The following is a 22,177-nucleotide window of genomic DNA, read 5'->3' on the forward strand; positions in this document are numbered from 1 at the left end:
ACGGACACAGGGAAGGGAACATCACACACTGGGGCCTGTCGGCGGGTTGGGGGCTAGGGGAGGGATAGCATTAGGAGAGATACCTAATGTAGATGATGGGTTGATGGGTGCAGCAAACCACCGTGGCACGTGTATAGCTATGTAACAAACCTGCATGTTCTGCACATGTATCCCAGAGCTTAAAGTATAATAATAATAATAATAAATACCAGTTCTGAGACAGCTTTCAAACAGCTTGCAAATCGAACTACAGTCACCGCTGCTTGTCACATTAGAGTTTGTGTGCTGTTGCCCAACTAGACAGACAGCCTCCTGAGGGCTGGGATTCGTCCTCACACTCTCCCAAGCACAGCACCCAGCACAGCTTGTCCTCTGGAAGCCCTAAAGATGCAGACTGGGTGGCTGGAGCAGAGGGTAAGAGCCCGGGACTGAAAGTAAGAAAACCTAGATGCTGGTGCAAACTGCTGACTGGCAATAGCATCCCCCAGCCCTCGGGTTCCTTATCTGTAAATGGAGGCTCTATTCCTGCCCACTCTGCAGGACCCAGGGAGGTCAATCTGGAAATCATAAAGTACCATTTATACCAGAGGCTTTACATGAGCGGGGGCAGCCATCGTACCTCATGGGTGCCTAGACAAGTTTTGGATAAAATGCTTAATATAGATACGGTTACCTTTGCTGCTTTCTCCTTTCTGCAATGACTGGTGGCTGTTTTACTGTTACTATCTTATCAAACTTTCATTTAAACAAAGTGTCTTGGTGATATAATGCCTTAACAGAAGGACTGGATCTCTAATGCTGACGTGCGCTTGAGGGGAGCTGGTTTCAACTGCATGTTCACCAAAACCACAGGATCACTACATGGTCACACTTGCATATAAAGTTGCATTTACATTGGCAGCCTTAAAATCCTGTGCACAATAGACATAAATTTGTAAATAAACAACATAAACAAAACTAAATATGTAACAAAACAACACACAAAAAGAGAACATTTTTTAAAAGAATGAAAAACGAAAACTATCTGAGGGTGGCTCTGTGGCTTGTGGTGGGTGTAGTCTGCACTTAGTTGGAGAACTGGCTCTAATGACTTGGCCCTGCACAGAGCTGAGAAGGGCCCCAGCAATGATTCTCCAAGACTGTCAGGAGCAGTGTGTCTACAAGAACCCTTTCCCACTACTTGGGGGATTGAAGATACCTGTCAAAGCTGAAGGGACTGGTTTGGTCATTCAATAGGCAAGAAATCACTTAGGTGACCCCTATGGGGTCTTTTTTTCTCTGCCTGCTCCCCTGGTGCCAGGTTGCAGGCTGATCTTGCCCAGTTCCTGACTAACTAGACTGCAGGCTGGTGAATCATGGGACCCACCTTTGACAGCAGCCATCTGGCTATTGGCCTTGGGTGCCCGAAGGCTGATGCTCACCATCCATGGAGCTACAAGCTCCTGCTGTGAACCTATATGATTTGTGTCCAGTTGGTTGAGTGCTGCTCTGAGTTTTAGACGAAGGAGTCCACCGTGGGCCTCTACCCCATGAGGAAAAGGAAATCAGGAAATGTATGTGGGGAGTGTCTTAATGAGGGAATCCGTGCTTCAACCATGGCAGGCTGGATAAAGTCTTCCTATTCTCCTCAGATTTTCAGTACCTTTTTAGTTAAAATGCTGAAAATTAAAGTTTGAAAGAGACTAGAAACTGGCCTCATTCCATGTGTTAATCTGTTTGAATAATGTCATCTCATTTGACCAGAGAACCCTTACAGCTGCGATGGCCATTTATCTCACAACTTCTTTGGCTGTGTCCAGGTCCCCTGGCTGGCAATTTATGTTCATACTCACTCATGGGCCACCCCTCCCCATGAGGTCCTGGGCCCTGTGACTCAGGGGCCACATCTACCCGTGGGGTCCTGGGCACCTCTTTGCCAATCCCACTCACAGAACCCTTCTGTGAACTAGAGCCTTACATAATAAGAACTTTGTGCTTCTCAATATTTTTTTTAGACTGAAAGGAAATGTTCCCCCTTTCCCTGACTTTGGCTTCAGTTAGTTATTTCAAATGGCAAATGGCACAAGTTATTAAAATTCCAACATGGAAATTTGCTTAATAAACAGGAAAGGAGTTTTGAGGGCCCACCACTGAGCATGAATGTTAACCCTGTGGTTGCCGGCCCGTTGTTTAGGCAGTTTTCGGGCTGGCCTTGGGCAGGGTTCTCCCTCTGTAGTGGGCCTTCTTTGTCACTGTTCCTGGCTGCTGCTGTGAGCTGTTGTTGTATGTACCACATACTTTTCTAATATCAAACTTAAGAACACAAAATCAGGGTCATATGAAATGATCTCATTTATACATGATTTGTGTAATCATAGATCCACTTTTAGATGACATTTATTCCCTCATCAACTAAATACAGGGCGTTTGGTTCTATGAGGTAATTCAAAAAGAGAACAAAGAAATTAAGGAGCAAAAACATTAAAATCCAAGGGAGAAAAGAGAAATAAGGCACCAAATACATGTAAGATAGGAAAACACTCAGGGGAGCAGAAGATTTTTGGGCCAGGACCACACTTTCTTTTGAAAAAAAGAAAGAAAGAAAATGTGGTCCTGGCCCAAATGGAGAAGCAGGGAAAGCCCCTGGAGGAGGTAGCATCAGAGCTTGGTCTTGAAAGGTGGGTAAATGTGGCAGATGAAAGATGTGCACAAATCCTTTGACATCTTCCTCTTGAGAAATAGAATCTATACCCCTCCTCCTGAATGCCTGTAGGTTTTGTGAACTGCTTTGATCAATATAATACAATGGCATTGATTTGTGTCAGTTACCAGGCCAAGACCTAAAAATACTGGCAGCTTCCTCTTCTTGTCTTTTGGAGTATCTGATCTTGGAATACTCTCTCTGGGATCCTAAGCCATCATGCTGGAGAGGCCACATGTAGGCACTTCAGTTGACAATCTCAGCTGAGTCAAGCCTTCCAGCTATCCGTCCCAAGGTGCCACACAGGTGAGTGGAGCTGTCTGGGACTCTCAAGTCCAGCCCATCTGCCAGCTGAGTATCATTGATGATCTCTGTCAATACCACATGGAGCAGAAGAACCGCTCACTTGAGCCCTTCTTAAATTCCTGATCTCCAGGATTGTGATCATAATAAAATGGTGGTTGTTCTCTAAGCCTTTAAATCTGGGATCAGTTTTGAAGCAGTGATTGGTAACTGGAACGGTAGGGTTTTGAGTAGCAGAGATAAGGGCCCAAAGGCATCCCAGAGACTAGGAATGTTGTAGGTAAAGCCATGAACCTGTGAAGATGCAGAGAATTGATGCGTGAATTTTGAGTTTTGGGGAGATGAGGAAAACCATAGGAAGCATAAGAAAAAAATCACTGTTGTACATGTTTAAGGGCTAAATAGAGAGTCTGAAGGTCTCTGTGTATGTTATGTATTCTTACATATGTATAGCTAATGAAGTGCCACTAAGAGTCTATATTTTAAATTTTTATTATGAAAATGTATAAACATGTACAGAGAATAGCATAATAATCCCCTGTTGTCTCAGTCTGTTTGGGCTGCTATAACAAAATACCATGACCAGGTGACTTATAAACAACAGAAATGGATTTCCCACAATTATGGAGACTGGAAGTCCAAGATGGAGGCACCAGCAGATTTGGTGTCTGGTGGGGGCTCACTTCCTGGCTCATAGATTCACAGATGGCACCTTCTCACTGTGCTCTCACATGTCGGAAGGAAAGAGGGAGTTCACTAGAGGACGCTTTTTAAAGGATACTAATCCCATTCATGCAGGCTCTGCCCTCATGACCCTATCACCTCCTAAAGACCCCACCTCTAATACCATTACTTTGGGGGTTAGGATTTAAACAGATGAAATTTGGGAGGACAGAAACATTCAGACCATAGCTCCCAAACATATAATAACTGGGAGTCAAGGACAGCGTAAGTGGTTTCCTGGCAAAAAAATGATCTCTGTTTGCCAATCTTTTTCCTGAACTATTTTAAGTGAAATCCCATACATTGAATCACTTTACCCATAAAAATTCAGTATATAGTTCTAATAGACAGGGCTTTAAAATTGCAAATACAATACCATTTTCACACCTAAAATATTTAGCAATGTTAATTAAAATGAAGCCCTCTCGGCTGTCGAATCTCTCTTACTGCTGGCTCCTTGGAGGCAGAGTCAAGATGGACCTGGCCTTGCTGTGGTTGTTCTCTCTGAGGCCTCTCATAATCAAAGGCAGCTCCGTCTTAGACCCTGCCCCCTTTCCCCTGTGTGCATTCAGCTCACGGCACGCTCGCAGAGTGATGGCACTTCCTACAGTCCTCTATCTGCTATTGCCAGGTATCTGTGAATTGGAAGCCACAGAGGGAGGACCACTGAGGCCCCTGAGTCACGTGGAGGAAGGGAACACCATGTCTGGACTGTGTTTGAGAAGGTCAGTCTGACAATGTGTGACAATGGTATGTGGAGTGGATTGGAATCGTCTACAATGAGAGCTCCTGGCCAAAGGAAGGGAGGATCAGAGAGGTGTAAGAGCACTGGGTGGGGAGCTCAGAGGCCAGAGGGAGTTTGGTCTGAAAATAATTTCTAACATTTGTTGAGTGCTTACTGTACACCAGGCTCTGTGCATGTGATCTCTTACCCCAGTGTGATAGATAATATTGCCCCCATATTACCTCTGGCCTAGAGAGGACAGGTGATCTAATTACACAGTTTGTGCATAATGCAGAAGGAACTGGAACCCAAAGCCCACGTCCTTAGCTACTGTCACATGGCAGAAACGAAGGTCCTGGGGTTCATTTGGTATGGTATATCAAGGGAGAGAAACTGCATTATTAAACTGAGTGAGGCCAGGTAGAGACTTTAGGAAGCAGGTGCGTTTTGGTGGAGAGCTGAATGAGCTGAGTTACTCAAAGTGCAGTCTGAGGACTACAGCATCCTCTAGGAGCCAATAAAAACAAAATGGAGACAGCTGGGCCCCACCCAAGACCTACGTCATTCCAGGGGATTTGACTCAGAAATCTGCACTAACAAGCTCCTTGGGATTTTCAGACTAAGTTTGAGAAACACTGGAATGAAAAATCAGACCAGACTTAGCAGCGGGAGAAAGGAGGGTCTTGTACATTAAAGGGGTGAAAAATTTAAGCGACTAGTAAGAAAAGGACCTTTAATAGTGTCTCACATGTAGCTAGCATTTTATAAGTGCTACAGACTGAATTTTTGTGTCTCCCCTAAATTCATACATTAAATCCTAATTCCTGAAGTGAGGTGTTAGGAGGTGGGGCCTTTGGGAGATGATCAGGTACTGAGGATGGATCCCTCATGAGTGGGATTTGTGACCTCATAAAAGAGCCCCAGAGAGCTCCCTCACCCCTTCTACCGTATGAGGACACAGCAAGAAGGTGCCATCTAGGAAGCAGGAAGCAGGGCCTGACCAGACACCAAATCTGCTGGGGCCTTAGTCTTGAATTTCCAGCCTCCATAACTGTGCAAAATCCATTTCTGTTGCTTATAAGCTACCCAGCTTATGGGATTTTGTTTAGCAGCCCAAATGGACTAAGACAGTAAGTAAATACCGTTGAACAAATAGACAGATGAAAAGGAACTTAGATATCAGCATAAGAACTGACATAGTGTCTCCAGGCTGAACACATGAGTTTAGCGGCCCCTCTGAAGGCAGAGTGAGACGCTCCCTGCTACAGAACACTCTCTGGTCATATCCCGATTAAGTGAAGATAATTTATTTTTTTTTAGATAGTGTCTCGCTTTGTCACCCAGGCTGGAGTGCAGTGGCGCAATCTCGGCTCACTGCAACCTCCGCCTCCTGGATTCAAGTGATTCTCCTGCCTCAGCCTCCCAAGTAGCTGGAACTACAGGCACGCACCACCACGCCTGGCTAATTTTTGCATTTTTGTAGAGAGGGAGTTTCACCATGTTGGTCAGGCTGGTCTCAAACTCCTGACCTCAAGTGATCTGCCCTCCTCAGCCTCCCAAAGTGCTGGGATTACAGGCGTGAGCCACCATGATCCCCCTTAAGTGAAGAGAATTTGAATGTCATATTAGAAGTAGATATTGGTAGCAATTTGGGGTAAGGGGGATGATCTCCACAGGATAAATAAGATTACAGCCATTATGTTTAATGTATGTTCTAAACCAATCCAAACAGAATATTGGCTTTTTATGTGCTTTGATTTTTCTTTCTAATGATAAATTTCTTGTCCTCAGGCAAAAGTAAATATATGCCTGGTTACTTTTAAAACTCCTATCCCCTATTCTACAGTTTCCTCAAGGGTTTAGAAGCACTTCCCCAAGATAGCTAGATGTGTAACATTATCCTTCTGATTCTCTCTGACACCCTGGGCAGTATCATGATCTAACTCAGACCCACTTTGCACTTTTTTCTTTGGTTGGCCACCATCTGTCTTTACTAGCTCAATGTTAGAAGACTTCTTTCTCCTTCCTGCTGGAGAAATTCAACTGCATTGCATGGAGAGCTAATTATATGGAGAGACAGTAAGTGCTTACCACTGGAGGGTATAAAAATACTGGCCGGTGTGGTGGCTCACACCTGTAATCCTAACACTTTGGGAGGCCGATGCGGGTGAATCATTTGAGTTCAGGAGTTCAAGACCAGCCTGGCCAACATGGTAAAATCCCTTCTCTACTAAAAATACAAAATTAGCTGGGCCTCGTGGCACATGCCTTGTAATCCCAGCTACTCAGGAGGCTGAGGCAGGAGAATCGCTTGAACCCCGGAGTTGGAGGTTGCAGTGACTGAGATCCCATCACTGCACTCCAGCCTGGGCAACAAGAGTGAAACTCCGTCTCAGGGAGGGGAAAATAAGTGAGAACCTTGGTGAAGGAAAGAGGTAATCAGCTCAGTTCAGGGCAGATCTGAGATGGGAAGACAGGAAAGGTAATCTCACATCTCCATCCTTTTGTAGCCCAGGCCTGGAGAGAATAATTAGGTGACCCGCTCAGAGTCCGTTGGGATAAAGTTGTTCTAGTTTTTGTTCACTACGCCTCCTTTCACGTGTCCTCTACAGTTGAACAGGCCAGTTACTGGGATGCAGTTCTGCGTTTCCCTTGGGTCTCACCTTAACATCGCTCGCTGAAGTGTGCCCAGATTACAGAGCGGGCAAAGGGAAGCAGTGGTTTTGCTCACAGCTGCAGGGCACCAGGTTCCTGGTTTCTCAAAGGCTTTTCTATTGGAGAAGTTTGGGTGAGACGATTTCCCGGACTGCAGCTCTGAACCCAGACTGTGGAATCTTTCAAACTATCTCAAAAACAGCCCCGCCTAAGGCATCCTTAAGAGCAGCTCTGAACTAAGGAAATTCCAAAGCCCACTTTACAAACCAGGCAGAAGCAAGGCCCCCAAGCAGGGAGGGAGGGAGATAGGGAAGAAAGGGGTGAGGAGTAAGGGGAACAGTGGCGCGGCTGGGGCGGGCGGAGGAAGTGGGGGAGCCAAGGAGACACCCCAGCGCTGGGATCCGGCAAGTCCTCCCTCTGAGTGGCCAGGGGGCCTCGTCCCTTCTCCCGATGCCTTCTGCCCTTCCTTGGGTCTCCGGAACCCAGCTTGTCCTAACCGCTTTCGCTGCGGGCAGCGCTGGCCACGCGGCCCCCGCCGCCGGCGGTTCTCCGTGGCCAAGCATCCTTGGCCTTGGAGCCCAGGGGCTGCGTTCCCCTTGGGGCCGGGGCGGGAGAGAGGACCTCGGTGGTACTCGCCCGTGCGCTGGGCGCAGCCGCTTGGCCCTCAGCCCTCTGGCGCGGCGCCCACCCGCTGGGTCCCGCCCCGGCAGCGACGCAGGGATAACCCGCGGCCGCGCCTGCCCGCTCGCACCCCTCTCCCGCGCCCGGTTCTCCCTCGCAGCACCTCGAAGTGCGCCCCTCGCCCTCCTGCTCGCGCCCCGCCGCCATGGCTGCCTCCCCCGCGCGGCCTGCTGTCCTGGCCCTGACCGGGCTGGCGCTGCTCCTGCTCCTGTGCTGGGGCCCAGGTGAGCGGGGCGATGCCAGGCTGATTGATAGCGGCACCAGGGGTTGGCCCCATGTGGCGCTTCCATGGTGCCCGGGGAGAGCGATCGGTGATGGGGTGGCGGCGTAGGGACCCATCCTTAGCCTAGGCAGGGCCAAGGGGTGGTAGAGGACCGGGTCTGGGGTTTTGCACTCGCACAAGTGCGAAGTGGTGCCCTTGTGAGGGTGGAGAGAGTACCGGGGTCAAGGGGAGGGTCTCAGATCTCCCGGGCAACCTTGGGCAAGGAGGGCCAGGCGTCCGAAGGGTGGGCAAGTAGTGTTTCGTGGCTTAACGTAAGGGGCAAAAGGGTTGTGGGGGCTTTACGCAGCTGGTAACCCAGAGGAGGCAAATGGCACCATCACCGCCATTCCCTTCCAGGCAGTCGCTTAGCAACCAAGTTGACTTGCGCTTCCCAGCTGGGTCAAGTTGCAATTTGCAAAGCTGGGCACAGGCCTCACACCCCAGAGAGGGGAAAGGCTCTTAAAGGAGTAATGCTTAATCTTTCCTGCTTCGTGGAGCTCCCAGCGAATCGGTTGAAAACTCTGAAATTCTCTGCTCGCTCTCTGTAAAACGTGCATTCACACGCACACCCAGAATGATGGGTGCTCCGATATCTGATCGCTGGGCTCCACAGGCCCCACTTTAGGAACCATAATCTGAAGCCGTGGTTTGTCCTGAGTTACCACCTTCACTGGGTAGGAGGAACATTTATGGTTCACAAGTGGCCTCAAGGACACATGACTGCCTTTGAAGCTTACAACTAGGGGAGGCAGGGATTGTTACCTCAGAGTTACTGGTGTATGAAGTGACTTGCCCAAGAGCCTGAGACTGGCGCTGTCCCACTGCAAAGCAGCTGGGCACTGCCTAATGTAAAAGGGAGGCTCACTCGGTTGCTCAGTTTCTGTATTTTGCTCATTCGAAACAGGTATGGAAACTGAACTCGAGGTGAGAAGAGGCAGGGGACATTCAGTAGGAGCCCTGGGATGGAGCCCCGGGGTTGCTAAAACAGCAGGAGGCGTGGTGAGGTCTGTTCAGGTGGGGAGGATTATTGTTCCACCTTAGAATCACAGGCGAAGCTAATCAGTCATTTCCCGTTGTATGGTTTACCTGCCTCCCACTCTTTGTTCTTGCCACTTTAAGAAGCACATCTGGGCCGGCCTTGGTGGTTCATACCTGTAATCCCAGCACTTTGGGAGGCCGGGGGGGGGGGGGGGGCAGATCACCTGAGGTCGGGGGTTCGAGACCAGCCTGACCAACATGGAGAAACCCCGTCTCTACTAAAAATGCCAGACGTGATGGCACGTTCCTGTAATCCCAGCTACTCGGGAGGCTGAGGCAGGAGAATTGCTTGAATCTGGGAGGAGGAGATTGCGGCGAGCTGAGATCGTGCCATTGCACTCCAGCCTGGGTAACAAGAGTGAAACTCCGTCGCAAAATAAAAAAAGAAATAAATAAAAGAAGAAGAAGAAAAAAGCACATCTGAATAAGTCAAGTGAGCACTGGCTACAAGCCATTTATTTTCAGGACTTGTATTTTATTTAGTTTATACCAATAACTCAGTTAAAATATCATCACCGAGCTGGGATGTGAAAGTTCTTATACAGTGAAAATATTTTTTTTTTTTTTGAGATGGAGTTTTGCTCTTGTTGCCCAGGCTGGAGTGTAATGGCGTGACCTTGGCTCACTGCAACCTCCGCCTCCCAGGTTCAAGCGATTCTCCTACCTCAGCCTCCCGAGTAGCTGGAATTACAGGCATGTGTCACCACGCCCAGCTAAGGTTTTTGTTTTTGTTTTGTATTTTTAGTAGAGATGGGGTTTCTCCATGTTGGTCAGGCTGGTCTCAAACTGCCGACCTCAGGTGATCCACCAATCTTGGCCTCCCAAAGTGCTGGGATTACAAACATGAACCACCATGCCCAGCCTACAGTGAAAATCTTTATGTAATCCCAAAGGTGACTCTTTATGCCACCTCCAAACTTTTTTTTTTTTTTTGAGACAGGGTCTCACTTTGTTGCCTAGGCAGGAGTGCAGTGGTGTGATCATAGCTCACTGCAGCCTTGATCTCCCGGACTCAAGCAATCCTCCCACCTCAGCCTCCCGAGTAGCTGGGACTACAGGTGTGTTGACTCCACGCCTGGCAATTTTTTTTTTTTCTTTTAATTTTTAGTAGAGATGAGTCTCACTATGTAGCCCAGGCTGGTCTCGAACTCCTGGGCTCAAGTGATGCTTCTGCCTCGGCTTCCCAAAGTGCTAGGATTATAGGCTTGAACCACCACGCCCTTCCTCACTCACAAACATTTAATAAAGAAAATGACCGTGACCCCTTCTTGATCAATTTATTAATATTAAGCACCTTCAAAGGAGCATTTTGCAGCTCTGAATTTGCTGGGAGAGCTAATGCTAGGCAACTGGATTGGATAAATTAAGGAGTGCTTATTATTGCAGCCTTGAATGAACAACTGATGATATTGGGTGAAAAGTCCTTAATACAGAAAAAAATCACAGCTATTCTATTGTTCCTTATCCTTTTCCTCAAACAAATTTAGTGTAGTGTCCAGTTATATGTACTGATATGGAGTTCAGTGTATAGTACCTGGCACAGCAGCAACATTCATAATTCATAATTTGGGACTTATTTGTGCTTTTCCATCTATAGCTAAGGTTTGGCGAGGCTCTCATTTCTGGAGTAATAGTGACATACATTTGCTGCAAGAAATTGCAGCCTCATCGCAAATGCCTACACGCAGTGTCTATTTCAACATCAGACCACATTTCATTCATTAATTGTTAAGCACTTTCACAGAAGGCAAACAGATGGAGGGGCCATACTTAATTCTGTATGTACTACCCTGTGAGCTGTTAGAGACTGACAGATGTTAAGACATTAATGAATGCTATTATTAGTGCCAAGGAACATATCTGTCTCCCTTGGCAAATATTTTCATAGATTTCTTCATTGAATTTAAGTTTGGAAGGGAAGTAGAGCGTTAAACAGTAGTCCCACCCCCATCTAATTAGAAAATCCCCTCTACAGTAGCCTGGTCAAGTGCTCATCTATGTTTATTTATGCTCAGACGCCTCCAGCAACTCTTAATCTCAAACCCCCCAAGGCCATTTGTCCCATCTTGGGTGGCTGTCTATCTGGGCGTTAGAAACCTTACTTCATGCCCTAACCTATGGCCCAGTGGCCCCTCAAAGCATTGGCTCTCCTCCCACAAGTTTCCTTCCTCCCTTCCTTCCTTCCTTCCTTCTTTTTCTTTCTTCCTTTCTCTTTCTTTCTTTCTTTCTTTTCTTTCTTTCTTTCTTTCTTTTTTCTTTCTTTCTTTCTCTTTCTTCTTTCTTTTTTATTTTCTTTTCTTTCTTCTTTCCTTCTTTCTTTTCTTTCTTTCTTCTTTCTCTTTCCTTTTTCTTTCTTTCTTTTTCTCTTTCTTTCTTTCCTTCCTTCCTTCCTTCTTTCTTTCTCTCTCTCTTTCTTTCTTTTTTTTTTTTCTGAGATAGAGTCTCACTCTGTCACGCAGAATGGAGTGCAGTGACGCTACCTTGGTTCACTGCAACTTCTGTCTCCCAGGTTCAAGCGATTCTCCTGCCTCAGCCTCCTGAGTAGCTGGGACTACAGGCATGCACCACCACACTAGGCTAATTTTTTGTATTTTTAGTAGGGACGGGGTTTCACCAAGTTGACCAGGCTGGTCTCAAACTCCTGATCTCAGGCTATGCGCCTGCCTTGGCCTCCCAAAGTGCTGGGGTTACAGGTGTGAGCCACCACACCCAGCTCCACAAGTTTTATTTCTCTAGGTTAAACACCTAAATTCCTTTAATTTCTTCTCATATAACACATGTTTGGGCGCTAGTCCTCTCTGGACACTCTCCTTTGACCACAACTCCGGTTTTTCTATGACCTTCTTCAAGTGAGATGATGTGAACTGAACTAAATAGTAGAGGGGAGGTCTGTTCAGAGCTGTGATGGAACAGCGACAGGACAGTTACTTTCTTTTTTTAAGTATCCTTTATTAAACAGCCTAAGATTGCAATTGCTTTTTAAACAACTACATCACTATAGACCGACTTGAGCACAGACAACAAAAACCACTGCAGCTCTCCCACAGGCTGCTATGCACTACGCCGATATCTTAGCTGGCCACCCAGCAGACTCCCAGCTCTCATAGGGAAGGTGTGAGGGAAACCACCACCTCTCCTCCCTGGCCCTTCAGTGTGGTCCCTAGAGATCTTATGAAGCCATTTCCATGCCATTAAACCTCAAAAAATTGGGAGGCCATGTAATTTATCATCCAAGCTGAAACACTTTTGAGAGCAAAAGGAGGCACTATCATTAATTTACAAGGACAAGAGGTATATACCAGGGCTGTTCCTGGACAACCAGAAAGTGTGGCCACCCTACCCGTGAATTAGAAGGGAGGCACTTAGCAGGAAATAGACTTAATAAGTTCTAGCAGGTTCCCCGTCCCATCCCAGAGGGCAGGCCAGCAGGCTCCCTGGATGGCCCAATGACTCTGAAGGCAGCCAGGTAGCACTTTAATCCAAATGCTACAGGAGGCTAGTAGGTTAGGTGGCTGCTTACGGACCATGAGTGTGCCAAGTGACTTGGGCTGAGAGGCATTCAAATTCAAAATTTGTAGACACTGGGTATGCTAATAAAATGCAGCCTCAGGTGAGGCAGCCAGCTTGTGACTCTTGTTTATGGATATATTCTTCGCCCCAACTCCACAGTAAATTCTTTGTGCAGAGGTTCTCTTTTAAAACATTTATTTTTTCCCCCAGCTTTATTGATGTATAATTCACAAACAAAGCAGGCATTCTTAATTTTATTTGGGTCACAGACACTTTTAAGAGTCTGGCAAAAGCTATGGTTCCTATTCCCAGAAAACTGTGCCTTGGCAGATGCAAACGCAATTTTACATGCCTTTCTAGACCCCCTGGAGCCTGTCCATGGAAGGAGAGGCTAAGAACCCTGCTGAGAAAGTGGTCACCATTACCTCCATCCTGGGGCCTGACTCCAGTTCCTTACACCCGAAGTTGCTCTACTCACTACTTACGATGTCATGCAACAGTTAAGGGTCAGAGGCTCCTATAGGTCTGCAAGCCAGTTCGCTGGGTGGAGGCGTGTGTTCTATCAGGCCAGACAAGGTATTTTCTATTAAAAATGATTGAGCTGATCAGAAACACTTTTAAAAGTGAATACAAATAACAGCAAGTGGTACAAATCATACTTGATTTTAGGGTGATCTGGGCAAGCTACAAAACTGGGCTGCACTTTTAGAGAGCAAAGGCAAGTTCCCCAGTGTGTGGGAGCCTGACTCCCATTTCTGCCTGCCTCTGTCTTCACATGGGTGACCTCCGTGGATCCTCTCTTCTTCTTATAAAAACACCAGTCACTGGATTTCTGTCCATCTAAATCCCGTATGATAACATCTTGAGACCCTCTCAGTGATGGGTAAGGCTGTAAAAAAAAAAAAAAAAAAAAAAAAAAAAAAGAAAGAAAGAAAAGAAAAGAAAATAAAAAAAAAATAAAAATCTTGAGATCCTTAATGGATTATATCTGAAAAGACCCCATTTCCAAATAAGCTCACATTCAGGGGTTTCTGGTGGATAGGGGTTTCAGGAGGACACTATTCACTATTCAACGTATTACACCATGAAGTGAAAATTTGCAGGAAGATGCGCTTGACAGATGGCTGCGCCTCGTAGTAAGACACAGGGCTAAAAGAACAGCATCACTCTGACTAGCTCAAATAGTAATACCCTTGGTCGGCTGTGGTCATTATCACCAGTATTAGCCATGGGCAGCCTGAATTGTTTGTCCTGCAGGACAGGGAATACAGCAAGTGTTAAATACTGTGATGTTACCAAGTTGCCAAATCAAGGCAGGGGCCCGCAGTTCTTTTCTCCCACTCTGATTTTTGCCTTTGATAAATTGAAGGGAGCAGTATAACTCTGATATGGATTTCAATTTTCATTCCTTTAGGTGGCATAAGTGGAAATAAACTCAAGCTGATGCTTCAAAAACGAGAAGGTAAATATACCCCAAATGGATAAGGGATGCATTCTTAACTGGATGGAAATGAAATGGCAATATGGATTGTGCTCACTGGAGTCTTGTATTTGGAAAATCAAAAGTGTTTACTCCTTAAAAGGTTAGCAGATATGAAGGGCTTATTCTGTTGGTATGTGGTGTGGTATCTTATTAGATAAATATTATTGCCAGTAAATGTCTGAAGGTTATTTTTCTGAAACCTGTCAGTGTGGACTCAAAAATAAAAGAAACAGTAGTACAGTGTTAATTGCATGCTATTTATTTTAGGACCATGGAGCACTTTAGAGACTATCTTTGGAACACATAATCCTCAGTTGGTGGGGCAGGCGTGGAACAGCAGTGTTGCGGTAGTCCGTGTATCCAAAGAGCTCTTGGGGAAGGGTTTCAAACAGGAAAGCCTTTCTTGTTATTAGCCTCTGTTTTGAATAATGCATCTAAGATAAATGTGACAGCAACAAAATGTCATAGAAATTGAACAGTCTGGGGGTCACAACACACAGGTTCTGGACCTGCTGTAATCAGATCAGGTGGATCAATTGTGGGGTCTCGTGAATGTCATTTTCCCTCTCCCAACTTTCATCTCTATCTGTAAAATTAAGAATCCCTTAGAAATGAAAAAGTGTGACCACACTTCTGATGTGACCATTTAGTCAGTTATTCTTTCCCTCCTAGTTTGTGGGGGATTCTAGCAGGCTGAACTTCCTCCCTGAAGTGGGGTCCTCAGTCATTCTTCCCACACTCCCCAGTTGCTGCTCAGGGGCCCTCCCACAGGTGGCTGGAGAACAGGCTTGGGGCGGTCCCAGCATCTTTTCCTGGGGTTCCAGCCACCCAAGAAGCCCTGGCCCACCCCCAATCTCTGAGGCGGCTCAGAGGGCCCCCTCCCTGTGCTGTGTGGTGGCCAGAGCCTTACCTCACGGATGCCCAGGGATCAACAACGCCCTCACAGAGCCAGTTTGTCATAGGTGAGCAAGCTGCTGAGGCAGTCACAACTCCTTGGTGTGCATCCCGCAGCCTTGACTCAGTTCAAATCAAGAAACACATATTGAGCAACTACTGTGTACAAAACAGTGTTACAATCCCTCAAGGGATTGTAAACAAACAAACAAAAACCCCTGCTGGTATTTGTCCATACGACCAACGAATGCACCAGGCCTGCATTTCCATGATCCTGTGCATTTTTCCTAACGTCATCGAGAGGGACTGTCCACCCACTTTTATAGATACGGGGACAGAGGCTGAAAACGTGACAGCAGGAGAAAAACGCCTAATGGCACAGTGGCTTCCTCGAGCACATCCTGCGGAAGTGGTTCCATTTCAACAATTGAGACTGTGATGGAAAGACGTTAGCAGCAGCAGTGTGAGGGTGCGGGTCAGTATCCTGCATCAATGGTCAGACTGTGAGGCGCAGAGAGGCACTGGCTTAAGGGGATTCTGTGTCCCAGCAGCCTGGTGTGAGAATCAGCTGTACTGTTGGGCAGGGTCTGGTCCCTGCTCACCCGGGGCTCATCATTCCAGTTCCTTTTTCTTACATAATCTCCTGAGCCAAGCACAACCCTCTTGTGTTGGCATATGCAATGGACATGCCCGTATACCTGTGTGGCACTAGATATCCAGTCTGTTTCCTGAATGCGGAGCCTGAGGGGTGGGCCATTTGCCCCGGGAAAGGCCTGGGCCCTGGGTGCGAGTGGGCTGCAGGAGATGAGCTGAATTTCATTTCTACCCTGAGGACCTAGAGGTTGAAGTTTAGTCCATGCCCCTTTATAGGGTTGTACCAAATAACACTTACTAACAGGAAGCATGGTGACAGAATCTACGAGGCTGTGTCACATTGTCACATGCAAGTAAGAATGAAGTTGAGAGTCAAAACCCTCCTACACATGGTGGTGGGGGATGGGATGTATAACAGGGATTCACCGCAAGTGAGGAAGGAAGTCATTCTTTGTGCTTTGGGGATGGGGAATTGATGATTTCAGCACCTGTTCCAACTAAGACTAAAGTGGCCGTTGATGAGAATAAAGCCAAAGAATTCCTTGGCAGCCTGAAGCGCCAGAAGCGGCAGCTGTGGGACCGGACTCGGCCCGAGGTGCAGCAGTGGTACCAGCAGTTTCTCTACATGGGCTTTGACGAAGCGGTAGGTGTTGCCTCCGGCTGCAGGCCTGGCTTCCACAGGGAAGGGTGGCAGGGAGGAGGCCTGGCTCGGGGAAATAGGAAGCAGAAAATTCAGCTTTGCTGTTCATTCCTAGAGTAAGAGCCCCATCATATGCCAAGTGCTATCAGGCACTGGATCATGTTACCTATGGTGTAAGGGCGATGGCTGGAAGTTTCCACCAGGGTACATTCAGGAGGCAGAACCCACGGCAGTCATGAACCAAAACAGCGGGGACCTAGATTCATCGAGAATCTGACTTTCTCGGGAACCCTTTTAACTTGGCTGAACAGTTTTGCCAGGGTATTCTTAAAATAACTCACAATCCCCCAAAACCTATTAACTTTTAACTTGAAGACTGTCAGAAACAACAGGGATGCCGGGATCTATGATGATAATGAAAAGAGATGAAAAGGGACCTGTAAAGAGAGGATGGGTCTTTGTAGAGGTTTTGGGGAAAATTTGTCAATGCACTTATAGGAAAAGATGGTTTACAGTTCATGCGCCTAGATGGCATTGGTGGACGTATTCATTGAATGAAAGACAAAGAGTTTATGATCGTAGGCTCCCAGCTGGGGTGCACGTGGAGGTGAGACGGCAGCCCATGGAAGTCATAGATGCTGCCGCATGGGCATCCATCCATGGTGACTGAGGAGGCTGAGCTCCCTGTGTGAGACGTAAAGGGAGGACCTGTGGCCTGTGCTGCCCCACCAGGGAGCAGATGGGCTTTTCATAGGCAGGACCTCCAAATGGGCAGTTGGATGTGTTTTTCAAAATGGGCACATGATTCATTTAGACGGTGTATACACAATACTGCAGTAGGTGAAGAAAAAAACTAAACCCCTTAGACATATCATTTGTAATGGCTACATAAAGTGAAATCATGTGGCTATACCAAAATTTCCTTCACATTTCCAACCATTGGACATATTACTTGTTCCCTAAGTGTCTTTTTGCTTTTTTTTTTCTTTTTCTGTGCAAATAGGTAAACATGTATAGCCAAACTCTGAGCCAAGCATGATTCTAAGTACTTAGAGGTACGAACTTACTTCACATTCACAACAACCCAAAAGGCAGGTGCTGTTATTTGCATCTCTGTACAGTTTGCCTTTTACTTAGACCACATTCTTCCCAGTGAGGTTCCTGGGGCAAGGGTGGAATCACATTTAAGTATCTCTGAGTATTGTCAAACTGCACATTCCTGTGAGTCACATGTAAGAGCAACAGTTTTCTGGCGTCTTCAGCAGCATCTGGTGTTCTCATTGAAAATTAAAAGTATATGTTTGCTTACTTGATAGATGAAAATGCTATATCCTCCTTCAGTAATTTGCATTTCTTTGATGACCATCATTAAAATGGGCATTAGGAGTTTAACATGCAGGGACGGGCATGGTGGCTCATGCCTGTAATCCCAGCACTTTGGGAGGCCAAGGCAGGTGGATCACCTGAGGTCAGGAGTTCAAGACCAGCCTGGCCAACAGGGCAAAACCCCGTCTCTACTAAAAATACAAAAAATTAGCCAGGTGTGTGGCTCACGCCTGTAGTCTCAGCTACTCAGGGGACTGAGACAGGAGAATCCTTCGAACCCGGGAGGCGGAGTTTGCTGTGAGCTGAGATCGCACCACTGCACTCCAGCCTGGGCAACAGAATGAGACTCCGTCTCAAAAAAGAAAAAAAAAAGAGAGTTTAACATGCAGAAACTACTCAAATAATGTCAGGTGACAAAACCAGAATAAAGATGAGGATCAAATAAGATTACAGTAACTTAATATGCATTAAAAAGAGTACAATGACTACATCCAAGTGTCACTAGTGGTCTCTGGCAAAGGAATATGATCTTCTTTTTCTATGCTCTTCTCTCACATACAGATTTTAAAATCTTAATCTATATTATTTCTGTATTCATCAAAGATTTTAAAAAATTTTTGAAAATACATATTTAAGCTAAAACTGCAAGCAAACTTGTAAAATGAGAGGCTGGGCACAGTGGCTCACGCCTGTAATCCTAGCACTTTGGGAGGCCGAGATGGGTGGATCACCTGAGGTCAGGAGTTGGAGACCAGCCTGACCAACATGGCAAAACCCTGTCTCTACTAAAAATACAAAAAAATTAGCCAGGCGTGGTGGCAGATGGCTATAATCCCAGCTACTCGGGAGGCTGAGGCAGGAGAACCGCTTGAACCTGGTGGGGGGTGGAGCTTGCAGTGAGCTGAGATCATGCCACTTCACTCCAGCCTGGGTGAAAGAGTGAAACTCCCTCTTAAAAAATAAATAAATGAATAAAATAAAATGAGAAAACCCAAGAGGCAAGATTGTTTCACCATGGCCAAAAATGTTGTATTATGGGAAAGCAAAACTAGAGATGGAGCCAAAGAAGTCGGTGTCCTCCTTCCCAAGGCAGAGGCTGAGGTGGGCTCAGATGATTCAGACCCCAGGTATAGAGAATGGCAGTGAGAAATTGGAATCATGCTCTTTAGCCCAGCACTAGCTGGCCCAGTACCCACCAAGAGTGGATGACCACTGAGCCCCAGAGACCACAGACACGGGCTAGGCTGGGGATTCCAGCCTCACAAAGTTCTCAATATTAATTAATGTTCATTGGCAGTCTTGTTAAAATAACAACAGGTTGCTGAGTCCCAAACATCAGAAAGTTCCATGCAGGAGGCATGGAGTGGCTGGTGCCTGAGAACCTGCATTTGTGATTTGGATGTTGGGGTGCATGGGCCACGCTTGGAGAAAAACTGGCCCTGCACCCCAATGGCATGACCCGTTCACCCAGCCCATCTGTCATCTCCCTGCCTTTTTGCTCTCACACTAAATCTCTTGCGATGTCCTGAGCATCAGCACACGAGTCCTAGTCTAAATTAATCTTGCACCTTCACCACCACCAAAGAAAAATTAGTCTCTCCTTTAAAAAAAATGTATTAATAGCCAAGATCAGTTGCCCAAACCAAAACCTGACCATCATTCTACACTACTTACTCAGCTTTAGCTTCTCTATCCCTTTTATTATCTGCAACTGTCTCTTCTCATATCTGTCACTCAGGAACAGTAGGCTTCTTGAAGGCACAGACGACTGTTTTTGGCAGCCCTCCAGTGCCCAGCACAGGGCATGACACACAGTGCCCATCTCAAAGCATTTGCAGAATAAATAAATGCATCTGTGTACACTCTAACCAACAACACAGGTATAAGAGTCACCATCAAATGTACCCCCAGTTCTCTGCCCTGGCACTATAATAGGCCAATGCAGTGGTTGATCTAACTCAGGCAACATTTATTAAGCATCTACTACATGCAGTATAAAGGGCCAGGCACAGGAATGGGGTAGGAAGATAAGACAGTGTTTGCCACAGTGAGATGTGGTCTGAGGGTCAGGCCAAGTTGTTATGGTATTTGGGCACCTGTCCATTTGATTTACCAAGAGAGAGAAAAACATTTAAGTCTGGAATACACTTAGCAAATATTTTACAAAAGTTTGCAAAGGTATGGGCCTGCACTCCTTTGGGAAAAGATAGCTTTTATCAGAGTGAATACTGCTGACTGTTTTGGCCTCTGAGCACAAGAATACGGTAACAGGGAGTTACTAAGGGTTGTTAATCGTTGAAGAAAAACCACCATGAAGAAAAGCCATAGGTAAGATTAGGTCTTAGGGGACTGCATGACCTTAAATCCATTCTCTATCATTCTCTCTCTTTTCCTCCAGAAATTTGAAGATGACATCACCTATTGGCTTAACAGAGATCGAAATGGACATGAATACTATGGCGATTACTACCAACGTCACTATGATGAAGACTCTGCAATTGGTCCCCGGAGCCCCTACGGCTTTAGGCATGGAGCCAGCGTCAACTACGATGACTACTAACCATGACTTGCCACACGCTGTACAAGAAGCAAATAGCGATTCTCTTCATGTATCTCCTAATGCCTTACACTACTTGGTTTCTGATTTGCTCTATTTCAGCAGATCTTTTCTACCTACTTTGTGTGATCAAAAAAGAAGAGTTAAAACAACACATGTAAATGCCTTTTGATATTTCATGGGAATGCCTCTCATTTAAAAATAGAAATAAAGCATTTTGTTAAAAAGAAAAGTCTTAGAATTCATTTGGGTGCAAATTAAGCTGGTGACATTTCTCGTTCCCTTGATGTTTTGAAGTTGCGTCTGAGAGGCACCTCTCTGTTATCACCGTGAGATTCCTCACCACCACCCAGGCAGACCACAGGACTGAGTGAGAGGTCTTCAGTTTGTTAGAACACAGTCTACATGAAATGCAAGGCACACGATCAGCAAGAAAAGCTAGTTGAAAATAATCTGTGGTTACAGAACGTGGAGGATTCCAATCATTTGACAGAAAACCCTTCTGGTTCTGAGCTACAGCTGGACCTGTTTAATGTTACCATCCAGGAAATGAAGGGCAACAGAAAAAAACCTGAAATTTGGTTGATTTCAGAGCCACAGTTATCTAAAAAATAAAACCTTGTTCCATGAATTTAAGACATATTTAAGAATATTCTTTGCATTGTAAACAACCTGAGTGAATGAAAGAAAAGGTGGTATTTGGGTGAGGGAGAGGGAGGATAAGAAGACGGGGGAGGTGAGTGAAGAATCTGAGCCTTTGCTGATAGGAGGGGGTCTGGTCCCAGACTACGCAGAACTGCAGGGGGTGAGGTGGGGGAGGAGATTAACAGCATGAGGGGGGCAACTCAGAATGGGTCTCAGACTTTTGTATGTCACAGACTCCTCCGACAGTCTGAAAGCTTTTTGCTCTTTTCCTCAGAAAAATTACATGCAATTTTGCAGATAGCCTCTGAAACACACCCCCATTCACAAACCCTATGTAATCAATAACCCTAGGCCCAGTAGGAAGCACTGGATTCAGAGCAGCGGTGTTACGGACAATCATAAACAAAGGTCATTCTTTTCTTCTTGGGGATTCATATAAATTAAAATTGTAGTGAAATATACATGAAAGTTACCCTTTTAAGCATTTTCGGGTGTACAATTCGGTGGCTAAGTATATTCACATTGTTGTGCAACCGTCACTACCATCCGTCCATCTCTGGAACTTTTTCATCTTCCCAAACTGATACTGTATCCTTTAAACACTAACTCCCCATTTCTATCCCCAACCCCTGGCAACCCCCATTCTACTTTCAGTCTCTACGAATGTCCACTCTAGGGACTTCATATAAGTAGTGTAATACAGTATTTGTCTTTTTGTGTCTGGCTTATTTCACTTAGCTTAATGACCTCAAGGTTCATCCATGTTGCAGCATGTGTCAGAATTTCATTCCTTTTTAAGGCAGAATAATATTCCATTGTATGGATAGGCCACTTTTGCTTATCCATTCACCCATTCATGGATACTCGGGCTGCTTCTATCTCTTGGCTCTTGTGAATAATGCTGCTATGAACACGGGTGTGCAAGTATCTTTTTGTGTCCCTGCTTTCAATTCTCTTTGGAATTGCTGGATCATATATTCATTCCATGTTTAATTTTTTGAGGAACCAGGCCAGGCACAGTGGCTCATGCCTGTAATCCCAGCACTTTGGGAGGCCGAAGTGGACTGAAATACAAAAATTAGCTGGGCATGGTGGTGGGCGCCTCTAATCCCAGCTACCAGGGAGGCTGAAGCAGGAGAATCGCTTGAACCCAGGAGGCAGAGGTTGTAGTGAGCCAACATTGCGCCACTGCACTCCAGCCTGGGCAACAGAACAAGACTCCATCTCAAAAAAAAAAAAAAAAAAAAAAAATTTTGAGGAATCCTCCATGCTGTTTTCTACAGCAGCATACCATTTTACATTCCCACCCTTAACACTTTTGTTTATTTTTCTTGACTATACTGAGCTGGCTCAAATCCCAATGCAATCTTAAAGAGGAGTGAAGTGGGTGATGGAGGACATCTTTGCTTCATTCCTTATCTTAAAGGGACTGCTTTCTATGTTCCTCCTTAACTATACTTGC

At 46.0% G+C, this 22,177-nt stretch overlaps 1 protein-coding gene across 5 annotated transcripts; it reads left to right on the forward strand.

Annotated features, from left to right (window-relative positions):
- Nucleotides 1-5,387: 5,387 nt before the first annotated feature.
- Nucleotides 5,388-20,302, forward strand: ECRG4 (ECRG4 augurin precursor). Of its 5 annotated transcripts, XM_047446022.1 has the most exons (6): nucleotides 5,388-5,560; nucleotides 6,428-6,509; nucleotides 12,937-13,152; nucleotides 13,991-14,038; nucleotides 16,033-16,190; nucleotides 19,912-20,302. In XM_047446022.1, exons 3-6 carry the CDS (start codon nucleotides 13,068-13,070, stop codon nucleotides 20,071-20,073), a joined length of 453 nt encoding a protein of 150 aa, XP_047301978.1. In that variant the 5' UTR covers nucleotides 5,388-5,560; nucleotides 6,428-6,509; nucleotides 12,937-13,067; the 3' UTR covers nucleotides 20,074-20,302. The 5 variants fall into 5 exon arrangements, with proteins under 5 accessions (XP_047301978.1, XP_006712862.1, XP_047301979.1 ...); XM_006712799.4 differs by lacking the exon at nucleotides 12,937-13,152; XM_047446023.1 differs by lacking the exon at nucleotides 6,428-6,509.
- Nucleotides 20,303-22,177: the final 1,875 nt, after the last annotated feature.

Source organism: Homo sapiens, chromosome 2 (genome assembly GCF_000001405.40).
Source record: "Homo sapiens chromosome 2, GRCh38.p14 Primary Assembly".
NCBI lineage: Eukaryota > Metazoa > Chordata > Mammalia > Primates > Hominidae > Homo > Homo sapiens.

What these genes read in the sequence shown, in the direction of transcription:
- ECRG4 (XM_047446022.1), top strand. Translation starts at nt 13,068, where the DNA reads ATGCAACAGTTAAGGGTCAGAGGCTCCTATAGGTCTGCAAGCCAGTTC. An exon ending in GATGCTTCAAAAACGAGAAG is followed by an intron (nt 14,039 to 16,032) that starts GTAAATATACCC and finishes TGATGATTTCAG; the next exon opens with CACCTGTTCCAACTAAGACT. An exon ending in ACATGGGCTTTGACGAAGCG is followed by an intron (nt 16,191 to 19,911) that starts GTAGGTGTTGCC and finishes CTTTTCCTCCAG; the next exon opens with AAATTTGAAGATGACATCAC.